We start from the raw sequence: 27679 nt of genomic DNA, 5'->3' as shown, positions 1-27679 counted from the left end.
TACTTGATAATGATAATAAACAACTGTTACCACTTTATGTATTTACTATACCATACTTTTAATTGTTATTTTAGAGTGTACTCCTTCTACTTATTTTTTTTTAGTTAACTGTAAAACAGCCTCAGGCAGGTTCTTCAGGAGGTATTCCAGAAAACAGCTTCAATATCACAGCAGACGACAGCTCCGTGTATGTTACTAACTCTGAAGAGCTTCCAGTGGACAAAATGTGGATGTGGAAGACACCGATACTGATGATCCTCACCATGTGTAGGCCTGTGCTTACATGGGTGTTTGTGTCTTAGTTTTTAACAAAATAAGTTTAAAAAATTTTAAGAAATTAATTTAAAAATAGAAAAAAGCTTATAGGATATAAAGAAAATATTGTTGATATGTAATCATAATTTATTATTATTTACAACTTTATGTTATTTAATAGCTTATTATTGAAGAAATTTTTTCATAAATTGTAGCCTAGTGTGCAGTGTTTATGCAGTTTACAGTAGTGTACAATAATGTCCTAGGCTTTCACAGTGACTCACCACTCACTCATTGACTCACCCAGAGCAACTTCCAGTCCTGCAAGCTCCATTCATGGTAAATGCCTTATACAGGTATACCATTTATCTTTTATACCATATTTTTACTGTACCTTTTCTATATTTAGGTATGTTTAGATACACAAATACTGACCATTATGTTACACTTGCCTACAGTACTCAGTATAGTAACATGCTGTACATGTTTGTAGCCTAGAAGCAACAGGCTATACCACATAGCTTAGGTGTGTAGTGGGCTACACCATCTAGGTTTGTGCAAGTACACTTTATCATGTTTGCACAAAGACAAAATTGTCTATGGATTCGTTTATCAGAACAAATCCCTGTTATGTGACACATGGCTATATTTGGAACCTCTACTTGCCTGGAAAGAGGAAGTAAGGTACATATTTACTTACATATGAATGATGGATAAAAGAAATATTAGTGACTTTGCAAATATCCAATGGTGAGATAAGCAAAAATGACTCTTAGCAAGAAATTAATTCTATACTAATAAAATCAGTTGTGGAGTTATTTTCTGTAGGAAAGCAAAATCCATAACATAATGCCAGTAGTAACAATTAAATTGTTTGCTTATTCATATGAATTCTATTCTACTCTGTTTTGGGAAATCTGCTTAAACATTTGAGTATTATTTTATTGTATTTTCTTTTTTTAAAAATTAAAGGTCGCTCACTAGTCCGGTTTCCATTAGCGGCCATAACCAAGGGAGAGGAACCAGCTGGCATGGGAAGGGGCCATCTTCACAACATTCCATTTATACACAGAACTAAACAGACAGGCACAGAGTCACTGTTGTGGTTAGAAGTTGTAGCATGGGAAGGTGGAGGAACAGGTGGAGAGTGGGGTTGTTTTTAAAATATATATATAGGCCTTCCCCAACTGGGGTTCCTGGGAGAACTTGGTCTGCTTCAACCCAAGAGGAATCAGAAGATCCAAGCAGTTTGGGAAGGCCAGAACTGTCAGGGATGGAGAGAGGAGGAAAATCCAGGGAGTTGGGGGGCTGTTTGGCAATTGGGGTGAAGGGAGTGCCTTCCCTCTGCTGGGATTCCCCCAGGCCCTCCAGTCTGGCAGGAAGGGGGCAGCCTGCAATCCCTGAGGGCAGGTCTGGGACTAGTAGATTCTCCAGGAAGGGCGCTGGAGGGGATCACAAAGTTTGCCCTCCAAGAAGACGACAGTGCTGACCCCTAGCTGCTTCTTGATGACGTCTTTGGAGCTGGCATAGATCATTTTGCTCTTAATGGATGCAGACTCAGAGGCCCAGAAGATAAACACCAGGTCCTTCTTCTTGCTGTCCTTGGTGGCGTCATAAGGGGCGTAGCGGCAGTCCTTACTGTCAGCATCTTGACAAAAGTGGCATAGGGATCATCAATGGTTTGGTCCACATTACTTACCAGGATCTTCTTGGCCTCCGCAAGGATGATGTACTTCTTGTACTCACTCAGGCAGAAGAGCAGCAACTTCTTGCGCTTCTTCACCTTTTCTAGTGTTGAAGACTTGCACACTTTCATGTCACTGAACACCTTGATGACATCATCAAAGACAGCCACATGGGAGCCCATGTTTCCAGAAGTGAAAAGGAGATGGCAAGGAGAGCCGCTGCAGCTGCTGCCAGGATCTGACTAGACATTTGAATATTTTGAGAATGAAGTCTTATTTTCTCACTGACCCCATTAAAAAATCAGTAATAACATAAAATGAGGCTGTAATAAGAACAATAATGATAATAACTATATTTATTATTACTAACATTTGTTGATAACACTTAATGGAGTCATTAAAGGGTATGTATGGTCTTATGAAGCCCTCTGGCATGTTTGCATTTTCTCCCCAGGTCTCTGCAAATATGTTTCTATAAAGGACAGTGTGGGGTAAGCACTGTCACACAAGTAATAATGAATATTTATTGATTGCATACTACTACTAAATGACCTACAGGCATGATCCACTTAAATACCTCTCATATATCTCTTAAAATTTGCTGCTACACTGCTTCCCTACCAAAAGTACTAAAGCTATCCTTCTCCTATAGCAGCTGAGGCTTTATTATAATTTCTGCAATTTTCTACCTTCAGGAGGAGTTTTCTCCCTAAGGTTTCCAGTATTCTGAAAGTACTTTCCTAGCAGACTCCTCCCATTGCTCACTAGACATGCCTAGACAAGTTCTAACCTCAATTGTGAATGCAGCCTTTATGTGAGTACTCTACCAGAGGAGGGAGAAAGGGAGAAAAGAAATGTTATCACAATGATTGTATTCATTAACCTTCATAATATATATGTGAAAGGAGGATGTAGTGGAATAAGGGTTGTGGCCATGCACATAACATTAAACTGGATTGCCATCTGTTCATAAAGATTTCTAATTTCTTGCTACATTTATTTTTATTTACTTTTTATTATTTTTTTAAGAGATGGGGTCTCACTATGTTGCCCAGGCTGGTCTTGAACTCCTGGGCTCAAGTGATCCTCCCATCTCAGCCTCCCAAAGTGCTGGGATTACAGGTGTGAGCTACTGCAGTGGCATCTTGCTACATTTAATACTTCACATTACTCCATTCTTTTCTTTGGAGCAGACTGAAGCATTCCTTTTTTTCTTCTTTTTCTTTTTCTTTTTTTTTTTTTTTTGAGACAGAGTCTCACTCTATTGCCTAGGATGGAGTGCAGTGGCACGATCACAGCTCACTGCAGCCTCGACCTCCCAGGCTCAAGTGATTCTCCCAACTCTCAGCCTCCCAAGTAGCTGGAACTACAGGCATGCGCCACAAAGCCCACCTAATTTTGGTATTTTCTGTAAAGAGAGGGTTTTGTCATGTTGTGCAGGCTGGTCTTGAACTTGGGCTCCAGTGATCCTCCTGTGTCAGCCTTCCAAGGTGCTGGGATTACAGGCATGCACCCCTGGCCTCTGAAGCATTCCTTGAGTCAGATATGCTTGGTGTTGTTTACTCAACCTGAGTCACCTTTTGCTTCCCTGTTCACCATTACCTACTGCCTTACCCTGAAAGGGGAGGTACTTACTATATATACTCAGATCATAAATTCCTCAGGAAGCTATCATGAGGTTAAAAGTACAGTTTCTGGAACCAGATTGTTTGTTTTCAAATTTTGCTCTGCCACTTACCAGTTGTGAGATCTTTGGCAAGTTACTTAATCTCTATGTACCCATGTCCTCATCCGTAAAATGGGGATGATAACAGTAGCCACCTCATTGGGTTTTTAATTTTTTTTTTTTTTTTTTTAGATAGAGTCTCACTCTGTTGCTCAGGCTGGAGTGTGGTGGCACGATCTCGGCACACTGCAACATCCACCTACCAGGTTCAAGTGATTTTCCTGTCTCAGCCTCTTGAGTAGCTAGGATTACAGGCACCTGCCACCATGCTTGGTTAATTTTTGTATTTTTAGTAGAGATGAGGTTTCACCATGTTGGCCAGGGTGATCTCGAACTCCTGACCTCAAGTGATCTGCCTGCTTCAGCCTCCCAAAGTTGCTGGGATTACAGGTATGAGCCACCGCACCCGGCCTATCAGTGGGTTTTTATAAGGACTGAGTGAGGGAGTGTGTGTGTGTGTGTGTGTGTGTGTGTGTGTGTGTGTGTGTGTGTGTAAAATCACTTAGGACAAGCCTGGCACGCAGAAAGCACTATGTAAGTGTTAGCTGTTATTATTATTGAGTGCAGGTACTCTATCTAACTCAATTGTACTCTCTTTGCTGCCCTCTCTGACACCTGGCATATTGTTTGATACATGATAAGCTTTCAGTAAAGGCTGATGAGCGATGAACAGCTATTAACAAAAGATAGGAGATAAGAAAATAAACATTTTCTTAGTCCTTTGAGATGTCCCAATAAAACGGTACTTTTGAAATAACTGTATATCTTTTATTAATTATAATTTTATGTCATGCCAATGTTTTGGTTAAGAGTCTAAGAAGGCTGCATTTGCCTCTGAATCACTCTATGGTCAAGGCCTTGTATTGTGAGAACAGCCCAATCATATTGACCTGGCACATGCTTCTCTGAAGTCACATGTCCAGCATTGTGACATGAGCAAGAATGCAGGCAACCTCTTGATTCCACTCATTCAAAGTTCTCTGTGGGGACTAGGTTCAGAAGATGTCATCTCCCCCATAGACTAGCTTCCCAGAGAATGTCACCTGCAAACTAGAATGATGCTAGTCTCAGCTTAACTGTGCAAAGAGAAAACCAGAACGCGCTCCCCAGGAACAAGGTTCATTCACAGTTGTCAGAAGGTACATTAACACTTAGAATCAAAACTTCATATAGGCTCTAGTGTAAAGCTTGACAACTCCTAACTACATCTTAGCTTTCACTACAGTGGAAGCAGTCCTGCTTCCACTGAAGTTTCTTAGAGATTAAAAAAAAAAATTACTAGGTAAATCTTTGTACCTTTGTACTTCTCATGCTAGCAGTTTTTTTACGTATCAGAGAGATGCTCAGTTAAGTACTCATAAGCTCCGTGACTAAAAGACTACATACTTTTTCAATTATAAACAAACATACAAATACAACTTATCAGCTGGATATAATATAGCCCTGAGATAAAAATATCATCATATATTACTTTACATTATCATGTCATGTTATGTTCTTTCTACGCTTTGGTATGGGACATTATGTATGTTCTTTCTACACTTTGGTATGGGACACTATCTGGAAAGACCTTAATCACTATTTATATTTTATGTTTTCCAAAGGGAACATCAACAGAGGAAATGTCAAACTTAAGAAATATTCTGTTCCCTGAAGGGGTGAAAAAAGGGCTATGAGGCCTAGTTAATTACAAATCAAACATAGTAATATACCTGTTTCCTCAGTTGCAGTAGAAATAACCAAAATTCCCTCAAATGTGCACTCCTAATTTTGTTCAAGAAACTAACGTTTCTCTTTCAAACAAGTTCTGATGAAATTATCATTTTCTTTTTTCTTTTTCAGAGATAGGGTCTCACTCTGTCACCTAGGCTGGAGTGCAATGGCGCAATCATGGCTCACTGCAGCCTCAACCTCCTGGGCTCAAGTGATCCTCCCACCTCAGCCTTCAAGTAGCTAGGACTACAGGGGCACACCACAACACCCGGCTAATTTTTTACTTTTATTTTTAGAGACAGGGTCTCACTATGTTGCCCAGGCTCATCTCAAACCTTTGGTTTCAAGCAATCTTCCCGCCTTGTCATCACGAAGTGTTGGGATTATAGGCATGAGCCACTGCATCCAGCCTGAAATTATCATTTTCTAATATTTCTCTTTTAATTTTCTCTAAGATGGAAGTAGCCAAATCACAATTAAGGTTTAATTTCACAGAGTATCCTGATTAACTCTGGAACAATGTAACATTTTAGTAAAATTATAGTGTGGGAGAGAAAAACTACAGTATTTTTATTCTAGAATTGAGGTCAGTAATAATCTTTTTATTCCTAAATGACTCAAACAGAGTTAATTCATGTCTCTGGCCACCACTGGCAGGGCTAAAGCCTGGCCATGAAGTGAAGGACAATATGGAAAGGTGGAACAGGAATAGGAAGGCAGCATACAAGGAAAAGATGAGAGGTGTTGACAGATTTTTAAAGAGGATAAAGATCAGCAGCTTTTTACAATCCCATTACTTCTTTAAATCTACTAATTCATCCAGGTTCACAGATATAAAAACTGTGAGGAAGAGAAAAAGAAGAGGGAATGGATGAGATGGAGAAGATTACTGGGGGCGGCGGGGGGGAAGAAAGAAAGAAGCCCATTTGGTGGAAAGCAATAGAGCATAACATGAAATTGCCTTAGGTACAAAGCTCACTGATCTATTCTAGAGTCTTCGTCCCACTTGAGACAATAGCCTAGTTCTAGTCCAGTTCCACTCCAATTATAAGGACTTGTCCTTCTCTTGATGGTCAAGAATTACTCATGTTCTGTTTACTATTAGATAAAAATTTATTTAAAACTACTATCTGCAGAAGACAAGCAAATTGCTTTATCTTCCTTCTACTCATTTATATTATTCAATACGATCCTCGTTTCTTATAGTTTAACAGGATGTATGTGAAAGAAATGGACTGTTGGCTCCTAACCATAAGTTCTCTTTGAGGCAAGCTTCTCAGAGATAAAAATAAAAATAATTGGCCCAAACAGGACCTAGGTCACCTAGCCTTGAGATTATTTACAGAGAAACATCAGGCAAATTTAGTCAAGGTGACTGAAGACCAAACAATTAAGCAATAAATTAATTCAAAAAAGACATACCAAAATATATATATTTGAAGTGTTACAACTACATGGCACAAAATTATTGGATCTCTAAAGCTATCCATCTAGTGTTGGGGGATTTGTTTCTATTTCTGTCTAGAAATTCAGCTAAGTATAATTTGTTATAAATCTTGCAGAAAACATGTACAGGTAGAATTATAAAGAAAAGTAGTGACTGAATTGGGAAGAATGAGGCAATATGTAGTGCCAAGAATTTTTTCATGAATATGTTGGCAATTGTATTTGTCTGCTCAAGGTGCCAAAACAAAATACCATAGACTGAATGGCGAAAACAGCAGAAATCTACTTTCTCACAGTTTGAGAGGCTGGGAAGTCCCGAATCAAGGTGCCAGCTGATTTAACTCCTGGTGAGGCCTCTCTTTCTGGCTTGCAGACAGCTGCCTTCTTGCTATGTCCTCACAAAAAGGAGAGAGAGAGAGAGAGAGAGAGAATATGAATGAGCTCTTTGGTGTCTCCTCTTACAAGGGCACTAATCCCATCATGATGCCCCACTCTCATGACCTCATCTAATCCTAATTACCTCTCAAAGGCCTCATTGCTAAATACCATTACTTTCAGGGTTAGAGCTTCAACTTGTGCATTTTGAGGATACAAAAACATTCAATCCATAACAGCCATTTAAAAACAATGTTCCATTCCAGCTCTAGGTAAGATGGAGTAAGCACACTCCACCTTGTCTTTTTTTTTTTTTTTTTTTTTTTTTTTGAGATAGAGTCTCACTCTGTCACCCAGGTTGGACTGCAGTGGCACAATCTGAGGCTACAGGTGTGCACCACCACGCCCAGCTAATTGTTGTATTTTTAGTCGAGACTGGGTTTCAACATGTTGGCCAGGCTGGTCTTGAACTCCTGACCTCAGGTGATCCGACCACCTCGGCCTTCTAAACTGTTGGGATTAAGGGCGTGAGCCACCGCGCCCAGCCCACCCTGTCTTTTTCATTAAATATAGTTATAAAACCTAGATAGAATGCATGAAACAGCTACTTGGGGACACTGAAAGATAAAAAGTACCAAGTGAATTGGGGAAAAAGACTAGAATTTAAAGTACTACTGAACAAGCAGTGAGTTTTCTGTTTTTGTTTTTTCCCTATCAGAACCTCAGTCTAGAAATAAGGCAGTCTGAAACTCAGAATACGCACAGACAGACAGAGCCCCAGGAGAAGCCCTCTAGTTCTGGCTCAAGGAGCAGGAAAAGCATCTCCTAATACTCAGAGAGTGTGGGAGAAATCTGCCAATTTCTTCTCTTTTGTTCTCCATTCTCTAGTGCCCCAGGCACCTAGAAATCCTGCCAACCAAGCAGTGGTAATGACTGCAATGTCAGCAGGTGGTGACAAGCTCCAATATCTCTGAGGGAGGGGAACCTTCTTCCATGGAGAAGTTGGGGCCTCAGGAGGGTGGGATAAACACCAGTTGATTTTTTCTTCTCTGTCCTTCCACTGCTGAGCCCTGGACATAGTGTAGCCCCAGAAAGTACATACCACAGCAGGGTAACTAAAGCACTAGATTTCTGGCTGTGGGACTGAAAGAGGAAGTCCCAGGAATAAGAAAGTACTAGAGACCATGAAGAGGGAGGAACTCAGAGAAGTAGTAGTTAAGTTGATTATAACCTCCTAGACTCACCTTCAAGTTGCACAAGGATGGATCTGATCACAAACAGCATATGTACCAAAAAGACTTTGAGACTGAACTAAAGGAGAGTCTACCACACAAGTCCACCACCCTACCACTACTGACTGGTAGTACACATAGAGGATAGATCCAAATAGCATGGAAAGCAAAATATTCTTTTTGAAAACAGAATTGACATTGAAACTACAACTGACAGAAGGTTGGCTGGAACTTTTGACTTGAACCAAAACAGATCTATTACCCACCAAAACAAAAATATCAGTATTCTCCATATGATTTAAACAAAACCCAGAGTCTTATAATATATTAAATGTCTGGGATACAATTCAAAACTAGTCAGCATACAAGAACCAGGAAAATCTCAGCTCACCTAGGAAAAGACAATAGAGGACAATGCCAGGATGCTATAGATGCTGGAATTAGCTGACTATAGCTTTAAAACAGTTATTAGAAAAGTGTACCAGAACGTAAGATTAAAAAGTTCCTGAAAGAAATGCAAAAAATAATAAAAAAATGAAATTGAAATTCAGAACTAAAAAATATAATAACAAAAATAAAGAACTAATTGTATAGGTTCAATTACAGAATGGAGATGAGAGAGGAAACAGTCAGTGAATTTGAAGATGAGGCAACAGAAATTATCCAATGTGAACAATGGAGAGAAAAAGTATTGGGGGAAAAAAGCTGTGCCTGAGGGACTGGTGGGACACCACCAAAATATCTAACATTTATGATATCGGAGATCCAGAAGAAGAAAGGAAAGAATACAACGTAGTACCAAATATTTGAAAGAATAACTAAAAATTTCTTAAATTTGGTAAAAAACATAAACTTACAGATTCAAGAAACTCAGACACCAAACAGGGTATAACCAAAGAAACTCATGCCCAAACACATCATAATCAAACTGCTAAAAACTGAAACAAGAAAAATTCTTGAAAACTGGTAGAAAAAAATGATACATTATTTACAGGGGAAAAACAGTGTGAATGACTGCAGATTTCTCATCAGAAACCACGGAGGCTAGAATGAAGTAGAACAACTTAAAGGGCTAAAAGTAAAAACCTGTCAACCCAGAATTCTATATTTAGCACAAATATCCTTCATGATTAAATTTGAAATAAACACATTCTTGGGGGAGGAAAACAAAGATAATTTGTTGTCAGCATACCTTGGTCTAAAGAATTACTAATGGAAGTTCTTCAGACAGACGGAAATGACATCATAAGGTAACCTGAAACATCAAGAATAAAGGAGGAGCCAGGCATGGTGGTAGTCTTAGCGACTCGGAAGCTGAGGTGGGAGGATCACTTTTAGCCCAGGAGTTTGAGGTTACAGTGGGCTATGATTGTGCCACTGCTCTCCAGCCTTGGTGACAGAGCAAGACCCCGACTCCAAGAAAACAAAACAAAACAAAACAAAAACAAGGAATAAAGAAGGAAAAACAGAAATGGTAAATATCTAGGTAAATAAACAATTCACCTCTTAAGTTCCTTAAAATTTGTTTCATGTTTGAAAGCAAAACTGATAACATTAATGGGGTTTTCAGTGTATGTAAATGCAATACATAAGACAACTGCAACATAAAGAGGGAAGGTAATAGGATCTAAATGATTATAACATTTCTATATCCCCCTTGAAGTTATAAAATATTGATTCTAAGTAGGTTGTGTAAAATTAAATATTTATATTTTGATCCCAATCATTAAAAACTTTTTTAACAAGGACACATAGTCAAAAACTAACAAAAATATGGAATTTTAAAAAATATACAAATGCCCCAAAAGAAGGTAGAAAAGAGAAAACAGATACATGAAAGAAAATAAAGGAAACAAATAGAAAACAAATAAATAAAATGGTAGGCCTAAATCTGAATATATCAATTATTACATTAAATGGAAAAACACCTAAATATGCCCACTGAACAGGTTGGTAAAATGTACGCAAAAACATGACTGAGCTACGTATGTGTTGTAAAAAAGAACTCAATTCAAAATACATTTATATAGGTATGTTAAAAATAGAAAAATATATGCCATGTGAACACTAACCAAAAGGAAGCGAGAATAGTTATATTACTATCAGACAAAGTAGACTTCAGAGCAAAGAAAATTACTGGAGATAAAGAAGGGCATTATAAAATGTGTGAATCATAACCTGATAGAATTGAAAAGAGAAACAGACAAATCTACAATTATATTTGGAAACATCAATACTCCTCTCTCAGTGATGGATGGAAGTAGTAAACAGAAAATCAGCAAAAATATAGAAAAATTGAACCATACCATCAACCCAACCGTACCTAATAGGTATTTATAAAATACTCCACCCAACAATAGCAGAATACATACTCTTTAAAATGTACATGGCACAGCACATTCATCAAAACATAATCCAGCCTAAAAAAAGAATTGAAATCATATAAAATATGCTCTCTAATCATAATAGAATAAACTTAGAAATAAATAAAAGTAAAATCTCCAAACATTTATAAACATTATACTTCTAAGTAATCCATGGGTCAAAGAGGAAGCCAAAAGGAAAAAATATTTTGAACTGAATGAAAATGAAAACACAACATATGAAAATTTGTGGAATAGGATTCAGCTAAAGCAATCCTTAGAGGGAAATTTATATTTATAACATGAAATATTGACATTAAAAAAGAAGAAAGTTCTCACGTCACTGATCTTTAAGAAGCTAAAAAGTTAATAACAATAAAATAAACCCAAATCAAGCAGAAGGAAGAAAATTTTTAAAAGCTAGGAGCAGAAATGAATGAAATTGAAAACAGAAATCAATAGAGAAAAATTAATGAAACAAAAAACTGGTTCTTTAAGACCAATGAAATTCACAAATCTCTTGCAAGATTACGAAGAAAAGACACAATTTACCATATCAGGAATGAAAGAGAAGATATCACTACAAATGCAATGGTATTCTAAAAATAAGGAAATACTACGAACAACTCAACACACATAAATATGACAACCTATGTGAAATAGACTAATTCCTCAAAACCAAACCATCAAAACTCACATAAGCAAATTTAAATAACCTGAAGAATCCTATACCTGTAAAGAAATTAAATTCATAGTTTAAAACCTCTCAAAAAATTTTCCAAGCCCAGATGGTTACACTGTCAAATTCTATCAATCATTTTAAGGTGAATTAATACCAATTCTACACAAATTCTTTCCAGAAAATAGAAGAGGAGAGAACATTTACCAATTTATTTTTATAAAATCAGCATTATTGATACCAAAGCCAGACAAAGACAGGACAAGAAAAAACCATACAATATCTGCCTTGGACCTTGACACAAAAATCTTCAACAAAATATTAACAAATTGAATCCATCAGTATATAAAAATATTATACACCATGCCAAAATGAGGTTTATCTTGAAAATGCAAAGCTGGATCAATATTCAAAAGATCAATCAATGTAATCCACCATATTACTACAGTAAAGAGGAAAAGCTACATGACCATACCACTTGATACAGAAAAAGCATTTAACAGGCTGGGTTTGGTGGCTCATGCTTGTAATCCCAGCACTTTGGGAGGCTAAGGCAGGCAGATCACCTGAGGTCAGGAGTTCGAGAGCAGCCTGGCAAACATGGTGAAACCCTATCTCTACAAAAATTAGCCGGGTGTGGTGGCACATGACTGTAGTCCCAGCTACTCAGAAGGATGAAGCAGAATTGCTTGAACCTAGGAGGCGGAGGTGGCAGTGAGCTGAGATCATGCCACTGCACTCCAGCCTGGGCTACAGAGCAAGACTCTATCAAAAAAAAAAAAAAAAAAAAGGAAAGAAAGAAAGAGAGAGAGAAAGAACATTTGACAGACTTCAACATCCATTCAGATTAAAAAAAAAAAATTCTCAGCAGACGAGGGTAGAAGGGGATTTCACAACCTCATAAAGGTCATGTACAAAAAGCCAACATCTAATATATTATGTGGTGAAAGACTGAATTCTACCCATTAAGGTCAGGAACAAGGTAAGAATGTCTTCACTCACCATTGCTATTTGACATTATATTGGAATTTCATTCAGTGTAATAAGGCAAGAAGATAAAAGACATACAGATAGGGAAAGAAGAAATAAAAATGTCTCTATTTGCAGATGACATGATTGTTTACATAGGAAACCAAATAAGTGATTTAAAAAAAACCTCCTAGAACTGACTTTAGTAAGGTCAGAGGACAAAAGGTAAACACACATTCAAAATTTTACATCCATATACCAGCAATGAACAACTGGAAACTAATATTTTTTAAACAATACCATTTACAATAGCTCCAAAAATACTGAAATACTAAGGTACGAATTTAACAAAACATGAATAGAATATGTATGCTGAAAACTACAAAACATTAATGAAAGCAATCAAAGAAGATCTAACTATAAATAATGGAGAGATATACTATGTTCAGAACTGGAAGAATACCAGGTACTCAGGAGTCTGAGGGAGGAGAAGTGCTTGAGCCCAGGAGCTCTGGGCTGTAGTTCACTATGCAGCTTGGGTGTTGGCACTAAGTTTGGCATCAATATGGTGACCTCCTAGGGGTGGGGTACTCCAGGTTGTCTAAGGAGGGGTGGACCAGCCCAGGTAGAAAAGGGAGCAGGTCACAATTCCCATGCTGATAGTAGCACAATCATGCCTGTGAATAGCCACTGCATTCTAGCCTGGGTAACATAGCAAGACTCTCATCTCTGGAAAGAAAGAAAACTGAAGACTCAACCCATGACACTATAGTTTAATTCAATTCCACTAAATATCTCAACAGAACTCACAAAACAAATTTGTAAAATATAGCAAGCTGATCTTAAAATTAATACAATTTTAAATTGTATTTTAAATTTTATATAAATTATGATTTAAAATTTTTAAATATAGCAAGTTTATTCTAAAATATAGAAATTTAAAATCATTAGAAAAGTCAAAATAAGTTTGAAAAAGAAAAATAAGGTTGAAGAATCAAACTACCTGATTTTAGGTTGTACTATAAAGCTAGATTAATCAACATAATCTAGTATTGGTGAAAGGGTAGACACTTAAGATCAGTGGAACAGAATAAACAGCCCAGAAACAGTCCCACACAAACACGGCCCACTGCAGCCATATTTTTTTTTTTTTCTGAGATAGGATCTCACTCTGTTGCCCAGGCTGGAGTGCAATGGTACAGTTATGGCCCACTGCAGCCTCAAACTCGTGGGCTCAAGTGATCATCCCACCTCAGCTTCCCAAGTAGCTGGGACTACATGCATGGGTCACCATACCCTGATAATTCTTTTTTAATTTTTTGTAGAGATGGGGGTCTTGTTATGTTGCCTGGTGTGGGGGTGCTGAAGCAGGAGGATCACTTGAGCCTAGGAGGTGGAGGCTGCAGTGGTCATTGTCACTCTACTCCAGCCTGGGTGAGAGAGCAAGACCCTGTCAAAAAAAAAAAAAAAAAAAGCCATAACAATCTATGTAACAGAAAAATTTGGGAACAGAGCATAATGAGTACGAATACAGGTTCTAGAATTAGATAGCCCAGGTACAATCCTGGCTTTAGGACTTACTATTTGACCTTGAATGAGTTACTTAACTTCTCTGTGCCTCAGTTTCCTTATCTGAGAATAATTATAGTACTTACTACAGGTTTATGAGAATTACATGAGTTGATATATGCAAAGCACCTAGAACAGTAGCTGGTATATATTAAATACTATATAAAGTGTTTGTTAAATAAAATGCACCAGGTTCTTAACCACTTGTCAGTCACAGTAACTTATGGGTATGCCATACGACATTATAACTGATTAAATAGCCAAATTATATTTGTTGTATCATAGGGAATTTAACATTTATTGATAAATATGATACAAGTTAAATTGTAAGGCCCTGCACTTGAGTCTCTCCCTCAAAATTGTGACTGGTACAGCATGGAGGACCCAAACTCTAGTGAAGAATAGGCTTTATGAACAACAAATTCAGTAGGTATCAAAAGGGTGGTTACTAGCAAAAGGAAGATAGTTTGATCCTAAATTGTGATGAGAAATCTATAGTATCTACACTGGTCACACCACTCTTGAAGCATATATTCCATTCTAGTTTCACACTTAATTTAGTTACGTAGACTTAATCTGTGCAGCCTCACTGGCAAGAATGAGAATCGTGGATAAAAGTTCTAGGGGAAAATATTTAGGCTCAGTAAAGGGAAGACGTAACACTGAAGGGTTCTCTGAACATGGGATGACAACTGAAGCAGTTAGTGAATCCTATGTCACCAGAATGTTTAAATAAGTTCAATGACCACTTGGTGAGATAATTATGATGACAACAAACACAGTCATTTCTAAAATGTTTATGGTGTCTGTCCTAGTTCCTTTACGTAGCTTATCTCCAATCCTCTCCCCAACTCTATAATGTAGACACTATCCCTTTTTTATACATGAGAAAACCAAGGCTCAGAGAGGTTAAATAAATCACCCGAAATGTGCTGTCATTAAGTGGTAAAGCTGTGATTTGATCCAGGACATCTAATTCCACAGCAAACATTCTTTCTAATCCAAACTGCCTTTGGTCAAAGACTCAATAACATTCAGTATTCCTTTTAATCCTGAGAGTCTGTGATTTATTGAAATTATATCTTTCTAAATATAGATATAGATCTTCCCTAGCCATTTCTATGCACTGGAACAGGTGTCTTTCTCAAGAAAAAAGAGGCATCATTCTTAAATTTGAAGTTGGTTTGTTACTTCTATGAGGGAAGTGTTACAAGCCAACACACTATTTACTATGTTAATAGACAATGGAATTAACAATAAATTGGATTATGCTGAATAGGTAAGGAGTTTCTTACTCCTGAATTTACTTTCTAGAGAGTGGTATTTAAAAAAGAGGTAAAATGTTATTATTCTTGATAAAAGTAGTAAATGAAAACACAAATAGAGATAAATCTATGTCCTTACTGCTCTACTCTCCCCTTAGCTAATTCTCAGTTAAACATGATTCATTCAGCACCATAAGACAGGGGGGAAAAAAACATGATTCATAAGAATCTATGTGAGTGTTTCAGAATTTGTTACAGTAATCTCTCACCAACTGAGAGTGGGGATGATTACATTCCTAAAAGGTGCCATGTTAGGTAAAACCTCCATTGGCAAAATTCAAGAAAATATGGAACTTGTAAGATAGTAAAGCAATAAAGTTGGTCATAAAGCAGAAAAGAATCTTCTCCTTCAGCTGTTCATGAGCTCATATTCTGAAAAATCATGATTGGTGTGAAAGATAGGATGTATTTATATTAACCACACTTCCTTTCACAGCTTTTGATCTGGCCCTTACTATACTGCTATTTCATGCTGCTTGCATTTGCTTTCCCACTGGTATATCACATTTGCAAGCCTTGGCAACATTCTTAATGGTCAGCTGATCCTTCCACAAATGAAGGGCATGATTTTTCTTTAGGCCCAGTGTCCTGCTGTTACTCCCCATATGTGGAGGGTTGGGGGTAGAGGCAACATTTGACCCTTCCTTTCATAAAATATTTCTCTGCAGTATGTGATGCTGTTTGATAGCATTTTACCCAGAGCAGAACTTCTTTCAAGATTGCAGTAAATTTTCTCAAACACTGCCACTGCTTTATCAGCTAATATTCTAAATCCTTTGTTATTTCAACAATGTTCACATTATCTTCACCAGGTGTAGATTCCATCTCAAGGAACCACTTTCTTTGCTCATTCATAAGAAGCAGCTCATCAAGTTTTATCAGGGGATGGCAGCAATTCAGTCACATCTTCAGACTCCACTTCTAATTTTAGTTCTCTTGCTATTTATACCACATCTGCAGTGACTTCTCCACTCAAGTCTTGAACTCCTAGAAATCATGTAGGAGGGTTGGACCAACTTCTTCCAAACACTTGTTAATGTTAATATTTTGACCTCCCATGAATTTTGAATATTCTCAATGGCATTTAGAATGGTGAATCCTGGCCGGGCGAGGTGGCTCATGCCTGTAATCCCAGCACTTTGGGAGGCTGAGGTCGGCAGATCATGAGGTCAGGAGATCAAGACCATCCTGGCCAACATGGTGAAACCCTGTCTCTACTAAAATACAAAAAATTAGCTGGGCATCGTGGCACGTGCCTGTAGTCCCAACTACTCAGGAGGCTGAGGCAGGAGAATTGCTTGAACCCGGGAGGAAGAGGTTGCAGTGAGCCAAGATCACGCCACTACACTCCAGCCTGGGAGACAGAGTGAGACTCCATCTCATAATAAATAAATAAATAAATAAATAAATAAATAAATAATAAATAAAATAATGAATCCCTCCAGAAGTTTCTCAATTTACTGTCCCCAGATTCCCCATCAGCAGAATCACTATCTATGGTAGCTATAGCCTTATAAAATGTATTTCTCTAGTAATAAGACTTGAAAGTTGAAGTTACTCTTTGATCCATGGACTGCAGAATGGATGATGTGTTAGTAGGCATGTAAACAACATTCTGCTGTACATCTCCATCAGAGCTCTTGAGTGACCAGGTGCATTGTCAATGAGCAGTTAACATCTTGAAATGAATCATTTATTTCTGAACAGTAGGTCTCAATAGTGAACTTAAAATATTCAGAAAACCATGCTGTAAAAAGATGTGCTGTCATCCCAGCTTTGTTGTTCCATTTATAAAGCACAGGCAGAGTAGATACAGAGTAACTCTTAAGTCCCTAGGATTTTCAGAATGACCAATGAGCATTGGTTTCAACTTAAAGTCATCAGTTGCATTAGCTCCTAACAAGAGAGTCAGCCTGTTTTTGAAGCTTTAAAGCCAGGCATCGACTTGTCTTCACTAGCTATAAAAGTCCCAGATGGCATTTTCTTCCAATAAAAGGCTGTTTTGTCTACATTGAAAATCTGTGTTTAGTGTAGCCACCTTCATCAATGATCTTAGCTAGATCTTCTGGGTAAATTACTGCAGCTTCTCCATTAGCACTTGCTGCTTCACCTTGCACTTACATGTTATGAAGATAGCTTCCTTCCTTAAACCTCATGAACTAACCTCTGCTAGCTTCAAATCCTTCTTCTACAGCTTCCTTGCCTCTCTTAACCTTCACAGAATTGAAGAGAGGGACTTGCTCTGAATTAGGCTGTAGGAATGTGGTTGGTTAGATCTTCTACCCAGACCATCTAAAACTTTCTCCATGTCAGCCATTAGGATGTTTCTGCTTTCTTATCATGCATTTATTCACTGGAGTAACACTTTGAATTTCCTTTAAGAACTTTTCTAGGCCAGACACAGTTGCTGATGCGTGTAATTCCAACATTTTGGGAGGCCAATATGGGAGGATGCTTGAGACCAGGAGTTTGAAACCAGCCTGGGGAATAAAATGAGACCCCATCTCTGCAAAAAATTAAAAAAAAAAAATTAGCCAGGCTCAGTGGTGTGCGCCTGTAGTACAAGCTACTTGGGAGGTTGAGGTGGGATGATTGCTTGAGCCTGGGAATTTGAGGCCACAGTGAGCTATGATCATGCCACTGCCCTCAAGCCTGGGCAACAGAGTAAGACCCCGTCTCTTAAAACCAATAAACGAACAACCAAAAAAAACCACTTTTCCTTTGCATTCACCACTTGGCTAATTGTCTGACTCAAGAGGCCTAGCTTTTGGTCTATTTCAGCTTTCAACATACCTTTTTTCACTAAGCTTAATCATTTCTAGCTTTTGATTTAAAGTGAGAGATGTGTGACTCTTCCTTTCACTTAAACATTTAAAGGCCACTGTAGGGTTATTAATTGGCCTAATTTCAATATTGTTGTGTCTCAGGGAAAAGCAAGCCCTGAGGAGAGGGATAGGGACAGGAGAATGACTGGTTGGTAGAGCAGTCAGAACACAACATTTATTAATTTCACTGCCTTACATGGCTGTGGTCTGTGGTGCCCAGAACAATCACAATAGTAACATCAAAGATCCACTGATCACAGATCACCGTAACAGATATAATAATTTAAATGTTTGAAATATTGCAAGAATTACCAAAATGAGACAGAGACACAAAGTGAGTACATGCTGTTGGAAAAATGGCACTGACACACTAGCTAGATGCAGGGTTGCCACACACCTTCCATTTGTAAAAATCATAATATCTGCAAAGCACAATAAAGGGAAGCATAATAAAATGAGGTATGCCTGTATTTTCATTTCAGAGGAGGAAACCCAGAAAGGCTACCTGACGTGTGACAGGCCACGGAGCTGGTACCTCTCATTGAGTACTGTCATAATTTAGAATTTCTCAAATACTGCATAAATACTGAAACAGAATTTTATTAAATTATTAAATATTTAGCATTATGACATTATATAAATAGTATCATGATATTTAGTAACAGTAAATAATGGTATATTAAATACTGAATAAAACAGCCATAATCTGCATCCTGCATGCTTCAAACTACTTTGGCAGAGACTATATTTGTTCTTCACCTACCTGGCACTCTATGCTTGATAAATTTCCTGTGTTGGGTTCAGAAACAGATTTTGAGAATGATAATTAAAATGAAGTATCATGGACCCCATCTTCCTGTAGAATGAGGAGGAAATGGGGTAACACTAGAGAGACTTTTAGTTGTCTTCTCTTTTTGGCCTATGAGTGTGTGTTCAGGTGCTGCAAATCCTTCTGATTGATTCAACTGAAGAAATATGATTAGTCATCAAAAATAAGACAAAATATGATCACTGTATTTCATGGCTTTAGACATCATTCATTTAAACTCTTTCACCTGTTTATTTCCAAGAGTCCCAAGGAAGGGGTGAGAGAGGGACAGAAGAGGTTTCTTAAATACTAGCCTGTGAGGACACTATGATGACTATATATGGAAAGCTAGTTTATGTAACATAAGTAGGATTAAGTGATGGAGGGACTGTAATGTGGAAGGTGGCACACGGTCCAGCCAGAGGTTCAAGAATATCTGGACAGAATTCTAAACCTGCTTTTAGCCAGCCAAGAATTATTAGCATTTCTTCAGCTTTTTACAAAACACTATAGAAGAAGAAAACATGATTGGGGAGTTAGCCTCTTTGTCTACTCTCCTTTACTCTCCCCTTTTCTGATCTCTCATTAACCTGAGAACTCAGAAGGCACAAAGAAATGGGTAGGGGCATGCCTCTGGCACTGGGCCTTACTTGGACATTCAAAGGTTTCAGAATTGCTGATATTTCAACTGAATAAGCAGCAGGCTAGAAAGTAGAAAGGTTTGTGAAATCTATCAGGTATACTATTTTGAAGTTGAATGAGACTTTCATCCCTGCCAATTTAGTATACTTAGTTTCCTGTGCTTCTATAAAACAAGTTATAGGCTTTGCTTTCTTTTTCCCCTTTGTTGTTGTTGTTGCTGCTGCTGCTGTTTTCTGGTTCCAGAAACAATGACAATAAAAGGGGAAGATGGGAGATTTTTAACATCAGCTTGCCAGTGAACTGCTGCTGGGCCCCTCTAGGTGAAAGAAGGCCTAGTAGATATTTCATCCTTAAACACGTAAAATCAGCCAGCTTTGCCCTGGCCTTTGGAAGAAGTGCATTCAGTGTCTGGACAGGATATATCATTTCTTCTGCTCAGTAAAGCTCCCTCAACTTTGGGAATGTTTCTATTAATTACCCATAGTAAATTAAACAAAAAAATGTGTTGTACTTGGCTGGGCATGGTGGCTCCTACCTGTAATCCCAGTGCTTTGGGAGGCCAAGCTGGGAGGATTGCTTAAGCCGAGGAGTTTGAGGCTGCAGTGAGCTATGATCCAGACACTGCACTCCAACCTGGGCAACAGAGCGAGACCCTGTCTCTAAAAGTTAAAAAAAAAAAGTGTTGTGCTCAAATGAATTAAATTTTATATGTAGAATAACAGCTCTGACGCTGTGGTTGTCCCTGAGGTTAATAGGAAGGTTAGGATTTGTGGCTGGGCACGGTGGCTCATGCCTGTAATCCCAGTACTTTGGGAGGCCGAGGTGGGCGGATCATGAGGTCAGGAGATCGAGACCATCCTGGCTAACACGGTGAAACCCCGTCTCTACTAAAAATACAAAAAATTAGCCGGGTGTGGTGGCGGGCGCCTGTAGTCTCAGCTACTCGGGAGGCTGAAGCAGGAGAATGGCGTGAACCTAGGAGGTGGAGGTTGCGGTGAGCCGAGATTGCGCCACTGCACTCCAGCCTGGGCGACTGAGCAAGACTCCATCTCAAAAAAAAAAAAAAAAAAAGGTTAAGATTTGCAGAGAAAAGATAAGACATGCAAAGTATTGACTTCTCAAATCTCAAGGCTTGTTCAGCGTCTCACTTTCATCTACTAAATTAATTTTTCTTGTGCAAAATCCACTCAGCAGTCTAAGTAAGGAAAAGTAAGCAAAAAATGAAGGAATGAAATATAGGGCAAACCTCTAACTTAAAATCAACAGCTGTAGGAGGACTTGCATTTTTATAAGATGTTTCAATCTTTAGAAATTCATAAAAGCAAAGAATGTATACTCAATAAATGATTGTTACTTGACAGATGGGAATAACAGCCAATATTAATGATGGTCTCTGAACTGAGAAATATCCATAATTTTCATGGATCGATAAATACGTTAAACTTTATTATCTTTGGGTCGTAGGGATGAAATCTTACAGGTTTTATATAACTATCATAAATGTTTTATAGACTACTGATCAGTAAGACTCAGCCAGAGGGGTGTATTAAGAATGGGAATGTGAGAACCAAGAGGTCAGCAGGACAGAGAGGCACAGCCTCTTCACAAGTCAGAGAAGATAAACATTTCAGACAAGATGCCATGGTTGAAAACTGAAGAGGTAAGGTCCTCATGCAAACACAGAGGAGATATGAAAAGATCATTGTCCTTACAGAATCTAGGAATGAGAGAATATCACCTCATCGTATAATGAAAATAACATCTGAGGTATTACACCAGCATGTTTACTGAGCACTTGCTAAGTGCCAGGCATTGAGCTCAGCACTGTACATGTATTGTCTCATTGAATTCTTAGTGCAAGTCCATGGCATGTGTACTGTTACTGTTCCCATATTAAATATAAGGAAACTGAGGCTTGAGAACATAAGTAACTTGTCCAAATTAACAGAGTCAGTATACAGTAGATCTTAAATTCAAACCCAGGTCTGTCAAGTTCACGTTCTTATACCCTATAGATACCAAGACTCCCCGATTGGACTAGTTTCTAATGGACACATCAGGATAGGGCAATCATATAATTATCATCAGTAAAATGGTTTGAATCGTATGTCATACCTTTGGACCACTTGTCTTTCCTCCCCCCTTCCCTTTTTTTTCCTCTTTAATCAGGTTAAATCTATACCTCTCCTATGTCCTAGGCATCCTCTTTTCTCTCTAGTCAGGTTAAATCTTGTTAAGCCTCTCCTATGTTCTAGGCATCCTCTTTTTTCAAGATGATAATATATTATAGGAGAATAAAGACTTCAACTATAATTCTGTGAGCTGAGTACTATGCCAGTGCTAACCAAAGTGAATTACGGGAACTAACAGAATGGACACAGAGTTTAGTGTACTTGTGCTTAGAAGATAAAAGACCTCAAATTATTCTTGTTCATTTTAGTTTCACATATGTTTCAAGGTTATCAGTTATTCTGGCTATTAGAGAAACGGGTGGGAGGAGGAAGGTTTTATGCGATCTTAATTTTTAAAATATTAAGTACCAGTACCTATTATTTTCTAAATACTTTCAAGGGCATTTTCCTAGAATCAGGTAAATGAGAGAAGGCAAGTGACCTACTTACAGCAAAAATTGCTCTAGGTTATAAAGGATGGGAAGCCAAGTGCATCCTGAAAACCACAGCATCTGGTCTTGTTTTATGCCTCATCTATCAATCTGTTGTTACAGGAATTGAGAATTAACATTTCAACTATTGTTTCTTCTATTTTAACTAATGCATTTGTATCTTTGTTATTCTTACTCAATCTTTCCCACCTCCTCCCCATTTAAGAAACCATAGGCAGGGGCATTATGAAGGTCCCAATTTAATCCTAGGGGGATCACTCTTTCATCTACGCCTTAAAACTTCTGCTAATGAGGCTACAGTAGGGTTAGACATCTGAAGCAATTCTGGTTTTGTTCAATCCTGATTTTTCACAGATAGTATCATTTGAACAGTACTGTATTAAAGCTAAATAAAATATTGTAGGTTGTAAATTTCCAAGTTCTAGAAAACATTTTTTGGTAGAAGTTTTTAAAAAGTACACTTGGCAATGCTGCTTGAGAAAAAGGTTACGTAGAAATGCAGATTGTGGATTAGTATTACCCTGATAACACAAGAAAATTATATATAACTTCTTTTTATATACACTCATTTAAAATTATGTGTAAAGTTTAAAAACATAAAACCATGGAAAGTAGATTTACAGCAATATGTTCTTTGAACTTTGCTGTTGTCTTTTTTTTTTTTTAGTTCTCTTCTTTTTACAGAATGGAGTTATCAATTCATCTTTCTACTTCTTCCAATCTTTTGAAATTTTAAATTTCCATTATTTTTTCCTTGATTCTATCTTATTCTTTCTTATTTTTATTTTTTAGTTTAGCTTTTTTTTCATTTTTTAAAAAAGTTTATGGGTACATAGTAGGTGTGTGTATCTATGGATTACATGATATATGCTGATACAGGCATACAATGTGTTATAATCACATCAGGGTAAATGAGGTATCCATTACCTCAAGCATTTATCATTTCTTTGTTACAGACATTCCAATTATACTCTTTTAGTTATTTAAAAATGCACAATAAATTACTGTTGACTGTAGTCACCTTGCTGTGTTGTCAAATACTAGATCTTATTTTTTCTATCTAACTGTATTTTTGTACCCATTACCATTCTCACTTCCCTCCTACCCCCCACCACTATTCTTCCCAGCCTCTGATAACCATCATTCTACCCTCTATCTCCATGAGTTCAACTGTTTTAATTTTTAGCTCCCACAAATGAGTGAGAACATGCAAAGTTTGTCTTTCTGTGCCTGGCTTATTTCACTCAACATAATGTCCTACAGTTCTGTCCATGTTGTTGCAAATGACAGGATCTCATTTTTTTAAATGGCTGAATAGTACTCCATTGTGTTCTATATTATCTTTCTATTGGAGCTTCAAGTACAGCTTCAGGTATAGCTTCATATTCTTGCTTTACTTTTCTTTCTCCATCCATTCTACTTAATTTACCTTGTCAAAATAATGGTTCATATGATTCAGAAGACATGATTTAAAAAATTAAAAAATAATGATTGAAATTATCCTTTTATGATATTTTTAAAAGAACAAAGGTAACCAAGTGAATTATACTGGCATAATTACTGTTATATAATTTTACCTATTTGTTGAAGTTCTATTCTTTCTAAATCATTGTCAAGTGAATTACTTCTAATGAGCAATGAATAGAGTCAGGTTTACTGTGTTTACTTATTCAAAGATTTCAGATTTGTTTTTCCTTCCAAAGGCGTTCTATCCTGAATCTCATCATGAGGCTTCCTTGCCTTGATTTCTTGATGTATTCCAGCTGGGTTAATGGTTCAGCTGACCAGATAGGCCTTTTAGGCTAAGGTAGTAGAGATTTTTGCAAAAATACATCTACAGTCTTCATTCACTAGGGCAGAATTTCTCAAAATAGAGTCCAAAACTACCTATATCCCAATCAGCTCAGATGTTTGTTTACTGATTTACTGATAGGCTTAAACAACAGAAATTTATTTCTCCCAGTTCTGGAGGGTGGGAAATCCAATATACTGGCATATACTCTGTCTGGTGAGGGTATCCTTCCTGGCTTGCAGACAGACACCTTCCTGCATCCTCACATGGCGGAGAGCCCAGATGCTTACTGTAAAATGCAGATTTCTAGGCCAAAACCTACAGTAGTTGAACGGGAGTCTCTGAAGACTGGGAGCCAGGAATCTGCATTTTGCCAAGTTGTCCAAGTTAATCTATATACAGTGAAATTTGAGAACACCTAATTTTTTTTTTTGAGATGGAATCTCACTCTGTTGTCCAGGCTGGAGTGCAGTGGCATGATCTTGGCTCACTGCAACCTCTGCCTCCTGGATTCAAGTGATTCTCCTGCCTCAGCCTCCCAAGTAACTGGGATTACAGGTGCCCGCCACCACACCCAGCTAATTTTTGTATTTTTTTTTAGTAGAAACAAGGTTTCACCATGTTGGCCAGGCTGGTCTTGAACTCCTCACCTCAGGTGATCCACCTGCCTCGGCCTCCCAAAGTGCTGGGATTACAAGCGTGAGCCACTGCGCCCAGCCAAGAACACCTAATTTAAGGAATCCTTTCTTCCCACCAGGTGTCTAGTGCATTAACCTTGATTGCAGAGCAAACTAGCTACACTCCATTTAATAACAAAAGTGGAAAATTCAGCACCTTGGAGGAGAACTGCCATAACTATTTTAAGAGTTACTGATACAGAAAACACACACACACAAAACCCAAAAACTTTCTAGAATAAAGTAATAATTCTTTTTAATATCTTGATTCTAACAAAGAGCAAAGGCCCAGAAAGTCTACAGTCTGCTCTAATTTCCTGATTAATATTATATATATTGAATTATTTATTGAGCCCCTACTGTGGGCCAAATATGGTATTTTGTGTTGCCAGGGATTATATAAAGCTATCCTGGAATGAAAAGCATATGTTCACTCTGCTGTATTCTGGAAGAATCTCATTGATTTGATGATTGCTGAAAATGAATGTACTTGATGTCTTAGGCCCAGACATGGAAGGTTTCTTACGGATTTGCTAAATGAAAATATTAGGTCCAAAACATATAGGTGTAGGCATTTGGTTTCCAGTGGCTGAACCACTGGAAAGGGAGTGAGGTGTAGCACTTTTCGAGCTTGTAGACTCTTTATGGTCAGCCTCGTGACTTTATTCAACAGTTTCCCTTCCTGTGCAATCATCCCTCAAATATTAGGCAGATGAATTGAGACTAGATGTAACCATACTGGGAACTCCATTTCATTGTAGGATTCATTTAGGATGTCTCTAGTAGAGTGACTCATGATTTGCCTGAGACTTTGTCAGCCAGTTTTATATCCCAGCAAACCTTTTAGTCTCATGCAAACTGAAACTGGGTAGGCTGGTCACCCTGGTCCTTAGAAGAGGGCAGGTGAGGCTCTTAGTTGAACCAATTTCACTCAGTAAATGAATGAAAATCCATTACTATCTTGAATTTCTCAGCTCATTTTCCTTACCAGTGGATATAATTACCCTATTGGGGCACAAAACCTGTTTCTTGCCTTTAGTGACCCTCCCCCTTTTAGCCCTGCCAAACCATGTGTCCATGAGCCTCCCAAGCAATGATTCAGCTTGGGATCATCCAAGGACCCAGTGGAGAGTCTCTTGAAAGTCTGCTGAGCACTGATAGCCTCTGTTTTTTGTTGTTGTTGTTGTTGTTTGTTTTTAATGAACATTGTCCTCGTCTCATAATCTTTCCGTTCTTCTCAAAGGTCTATCTCTCTAAATAGTCTAGTAATCCCAAACCTAGCTTCACATCCATTTTTTTTTTAAATTAGGAATGTAGGCATGCACGTATATAAAGCCTTAAATACTAAACAGGCACGGGTGTATTCAATTCCATTCTGATTCCTGTCCATGAACTTAATCATAGTTTTCAACATTCATGCATCCCTTTCATCCCATCCTTTAAAGCCTTGTGATTTTGGCATTTCATGGTCTTACTTTCAACTAGATTTTAAAGTTTAGCTGGTATTAAATTACCATCTCAAAGAGAAAACGTAAAGTACAAGGTATGAATTAGACAGACCTATGTTCCAATGAAATTGTTGCCTTTATTTCCCAAGTATATGAACTTAGAAAAGTTTCTCTAAGGTTTAAGCTTTAAAATTTGCTCATTTGTAAAAACGGAGAAAATGATAGCTATTTTAGAGGATTTTGGGGGAGATATTTAGGTTATGCATGTAAAGCACATAGAAGCTTATTGCCCCACCCCAGCAGACATTAACTAGGTATTATCTTCACCACATTATTACAAGTTTGTAACTAGTAACATTCGTTAACAATCAGGCTGCAAAATTGTTATTATTATTGAGACAGGGGCTTGCTCTGTCGCCCAGGCTGGAGTGGAGTGGCTTGATCACTGCAGCCGTGATCTCCCACGCTCAAGCGATTCTCCCACCTCAGCCTCCCAAGTAGCTGGGACTACAGACATGCGCCACCAAATCCAGCTAATTTTTAGGTGGTTTTTTTTTTTTTTTTTTTTTTTTTTTTGTAGAGACGATTTCTCATTATGTTGTCCAGGCTGGTCTCGAATTCCTGACCTCAAGTGATCCTCTCGCTTCGGCCTCCCAAAGTGTTGGGATTACAGGCGTAAGCCACCGCGCTGGCCAAGCTGCAGAATTCTTTAGCCATCAAAGATGATGCCTCAAGTAGAAAGGCACAAGCTGCCTTCCTGAGGAACACAGGGAGAACTCTCATTACATCATAGTCTCACCGACTCTGTCTGAAGGAAGTGATGCTTCTCGTATCTCAGGAGTGTCTAATGTCATCTGGCCCACCGGCAGTTTGTGTATTCAGGAGGCTCTGGCTTTCAGGTTTGCTCCCTTGGGACCTCTTGTGTCACGTCGCTCGTTCTGGAAAGGAAAAGGGGTGAAAGAAAAAGGGAAATCACCAAAATGCAAAATCTGTTACCAGATGCCCTATTCCGTCCTAACTACCGAGTCTGGTGGCGTGGGCTGCTAAATCTTTTCGCGGAAAGATTGTCAGGCGCCACCCCGAGGTGTTTGTCAGCACAGAGATGGGGGAGAAGGGTGAGCTCACCCGAGAATTGAAAGGCAGGTGGTGAGGGATGAGGGGTGAGGAGTGGAGGGTGGCCATAAGCTTCTGCGTTTTGGCTAAAGTACAGACACAAAGCCGCGGCGTGAGGGTTTGCACAGAGTGGTGGGAAGGAGAGAATGTATTTGCTGGGTACGCAGAGCATTTCTGCACTCTCAAGAAGGCTGCCCGATTTGTCAGGGTTGCGCCCCGAGCCCGCGAGAAGGGCAGGGACTTTTTGTGATAAGCGCCTTCCCAAAGGTAGTGTCTGTTAAACGCAGAGCCTTAGCGAGTGCTGCTCGCAGACACGCCGGCTTCGCAGAAAGTCTCAGTCTAGCAGGTAGCTTAAGCAGACATCAGGTGCGCGAATTTGCTCTCCCTCACTGTTTCTAAGCCTGGGAGCACGCC

The 27679-nt window shown here is 38.4% G+C and overlaps 1 protein-coding gene and 2 pseudogenes across 7 annotated transcripts in view, besides 4 other annotated features; 2 read left to right on the top strand and 1 right to left on the bottom strand.

Moving 5' to 3' along the window:
- Positions 1-379: 379 nt before the first annotated feature.
- Positions 380-27679, bottom strand: CFL1P1 (cofilin 1 pseudogene 1; annotated as a pseudogene). The gene is made up of 4 exons (NR_028492.1): positions 27656-27679; positions 26952-27090; positions 13740-13893; positions 380-2182 (listed from the first exon to the last, which is right to left on the bottom strand). The product of NR_028492.1 is annotated as a cofilin 1 pseudogene 1 (transcript).
- Positions 2141-3340: an enhancer, noted in NCBI's record as "MED14-independent group 3 enhancer chr10:89602409-89603608 (GRCh37/hg19 assembly coordinates)". NCBI's record gives its function as "activates an origin of replication core promoter dependent on BRD2, BRD4, P300/CBP and CDK7 cofactors, and independent of MED14, by STARR-seq in HCT116 cells {active_cell/tissue: HCT116}" and the evidence as "EXISTENCE:reporter gene assay evidence [ECO:0000049][PMID:35650434]".
- Positions 4446-4740: a silencer, noted in NCBI's record as "tiled region #3344; HepG2 Repressive DNase matched - State 9:DNaseU". NCBI's record gives its function as "represses a minimal TATA promoter and a strong SV40 promoter by Sharpr-MPRA in HepG2 cells {active_cell/tissue: HepG2}" and the evidence as "EXISTENCE:reporter gene assay evidence [ECO:0000049][PMID:27701403]".
- ATAD1 (ATPase family AAA domain containing 1) overlaps positions 4631-27679 on the top strand; it is an 89850-nt gene continuing 66801 nt past the window's right edge. For 3 of the 6 annotated variants that reach the window (XM_005270252.6, XM_047425911.1, XM_047425915.1), the window contains exon 1: positions 4631-4805. The gene's annotated coding sequence lies outside the window, so the exon portion shown is untranslated. Of the gene's footprint in view, positions 4806-21123; positions 21273-26751; positions 27052-27679 lie in introns of those variants that run through there. The other 3 variants (XM_047425908.1, XM_017016847.3, XM_047425912.1) reach the window with 3 other exon arrangements.
- Positions 8140-8259: an enhancer, noted in NCBI's record as "active region_3713". NCBI's record gives its function as "activates an Ori minimal core promoter by ATAC-STARR-seq in GM12878 lymphoblastoid cells {active_cell/tissue: GM12878}" and the evidence as "EXISTENCE:reporter gene assay evidence [ECO:0000049][PMID:35858748]".
- Positions 12894-13174, top strand: RN7SL78P (RNA, 7SL, cytoplasmic 78, pseudogene; annotated as a pseudogene).
- Positions 27619-27668: a silencer, noted in NCBI's record as "silent region_2584". NCBI's record gives its function as "represses an Ori minimal core promoter by ATAC-STARR-seq in GM12878 lymphoblastoid cells {active_cell/tissue: GM12878}" and the evidence as "EXISTENCE:reporter gene assay evidence [ECO:0000049][PMID:35858748]".

This window comes from Homo sapiens, chromosome 10 (assembly GCF_000001405.40).
Source record: "Homo sapiens chromosome 10, GRCh38.p14 Primary Assembly".
Taxonomy (NCBI): Eukaryota; Metazoa; Chordata; class Mammalia; order Primates; family Hominidae; genus Homo; species Homo sapiens.
This window is presented reverse-complemented; position numbering and strand designations above follow the sequence as displayed.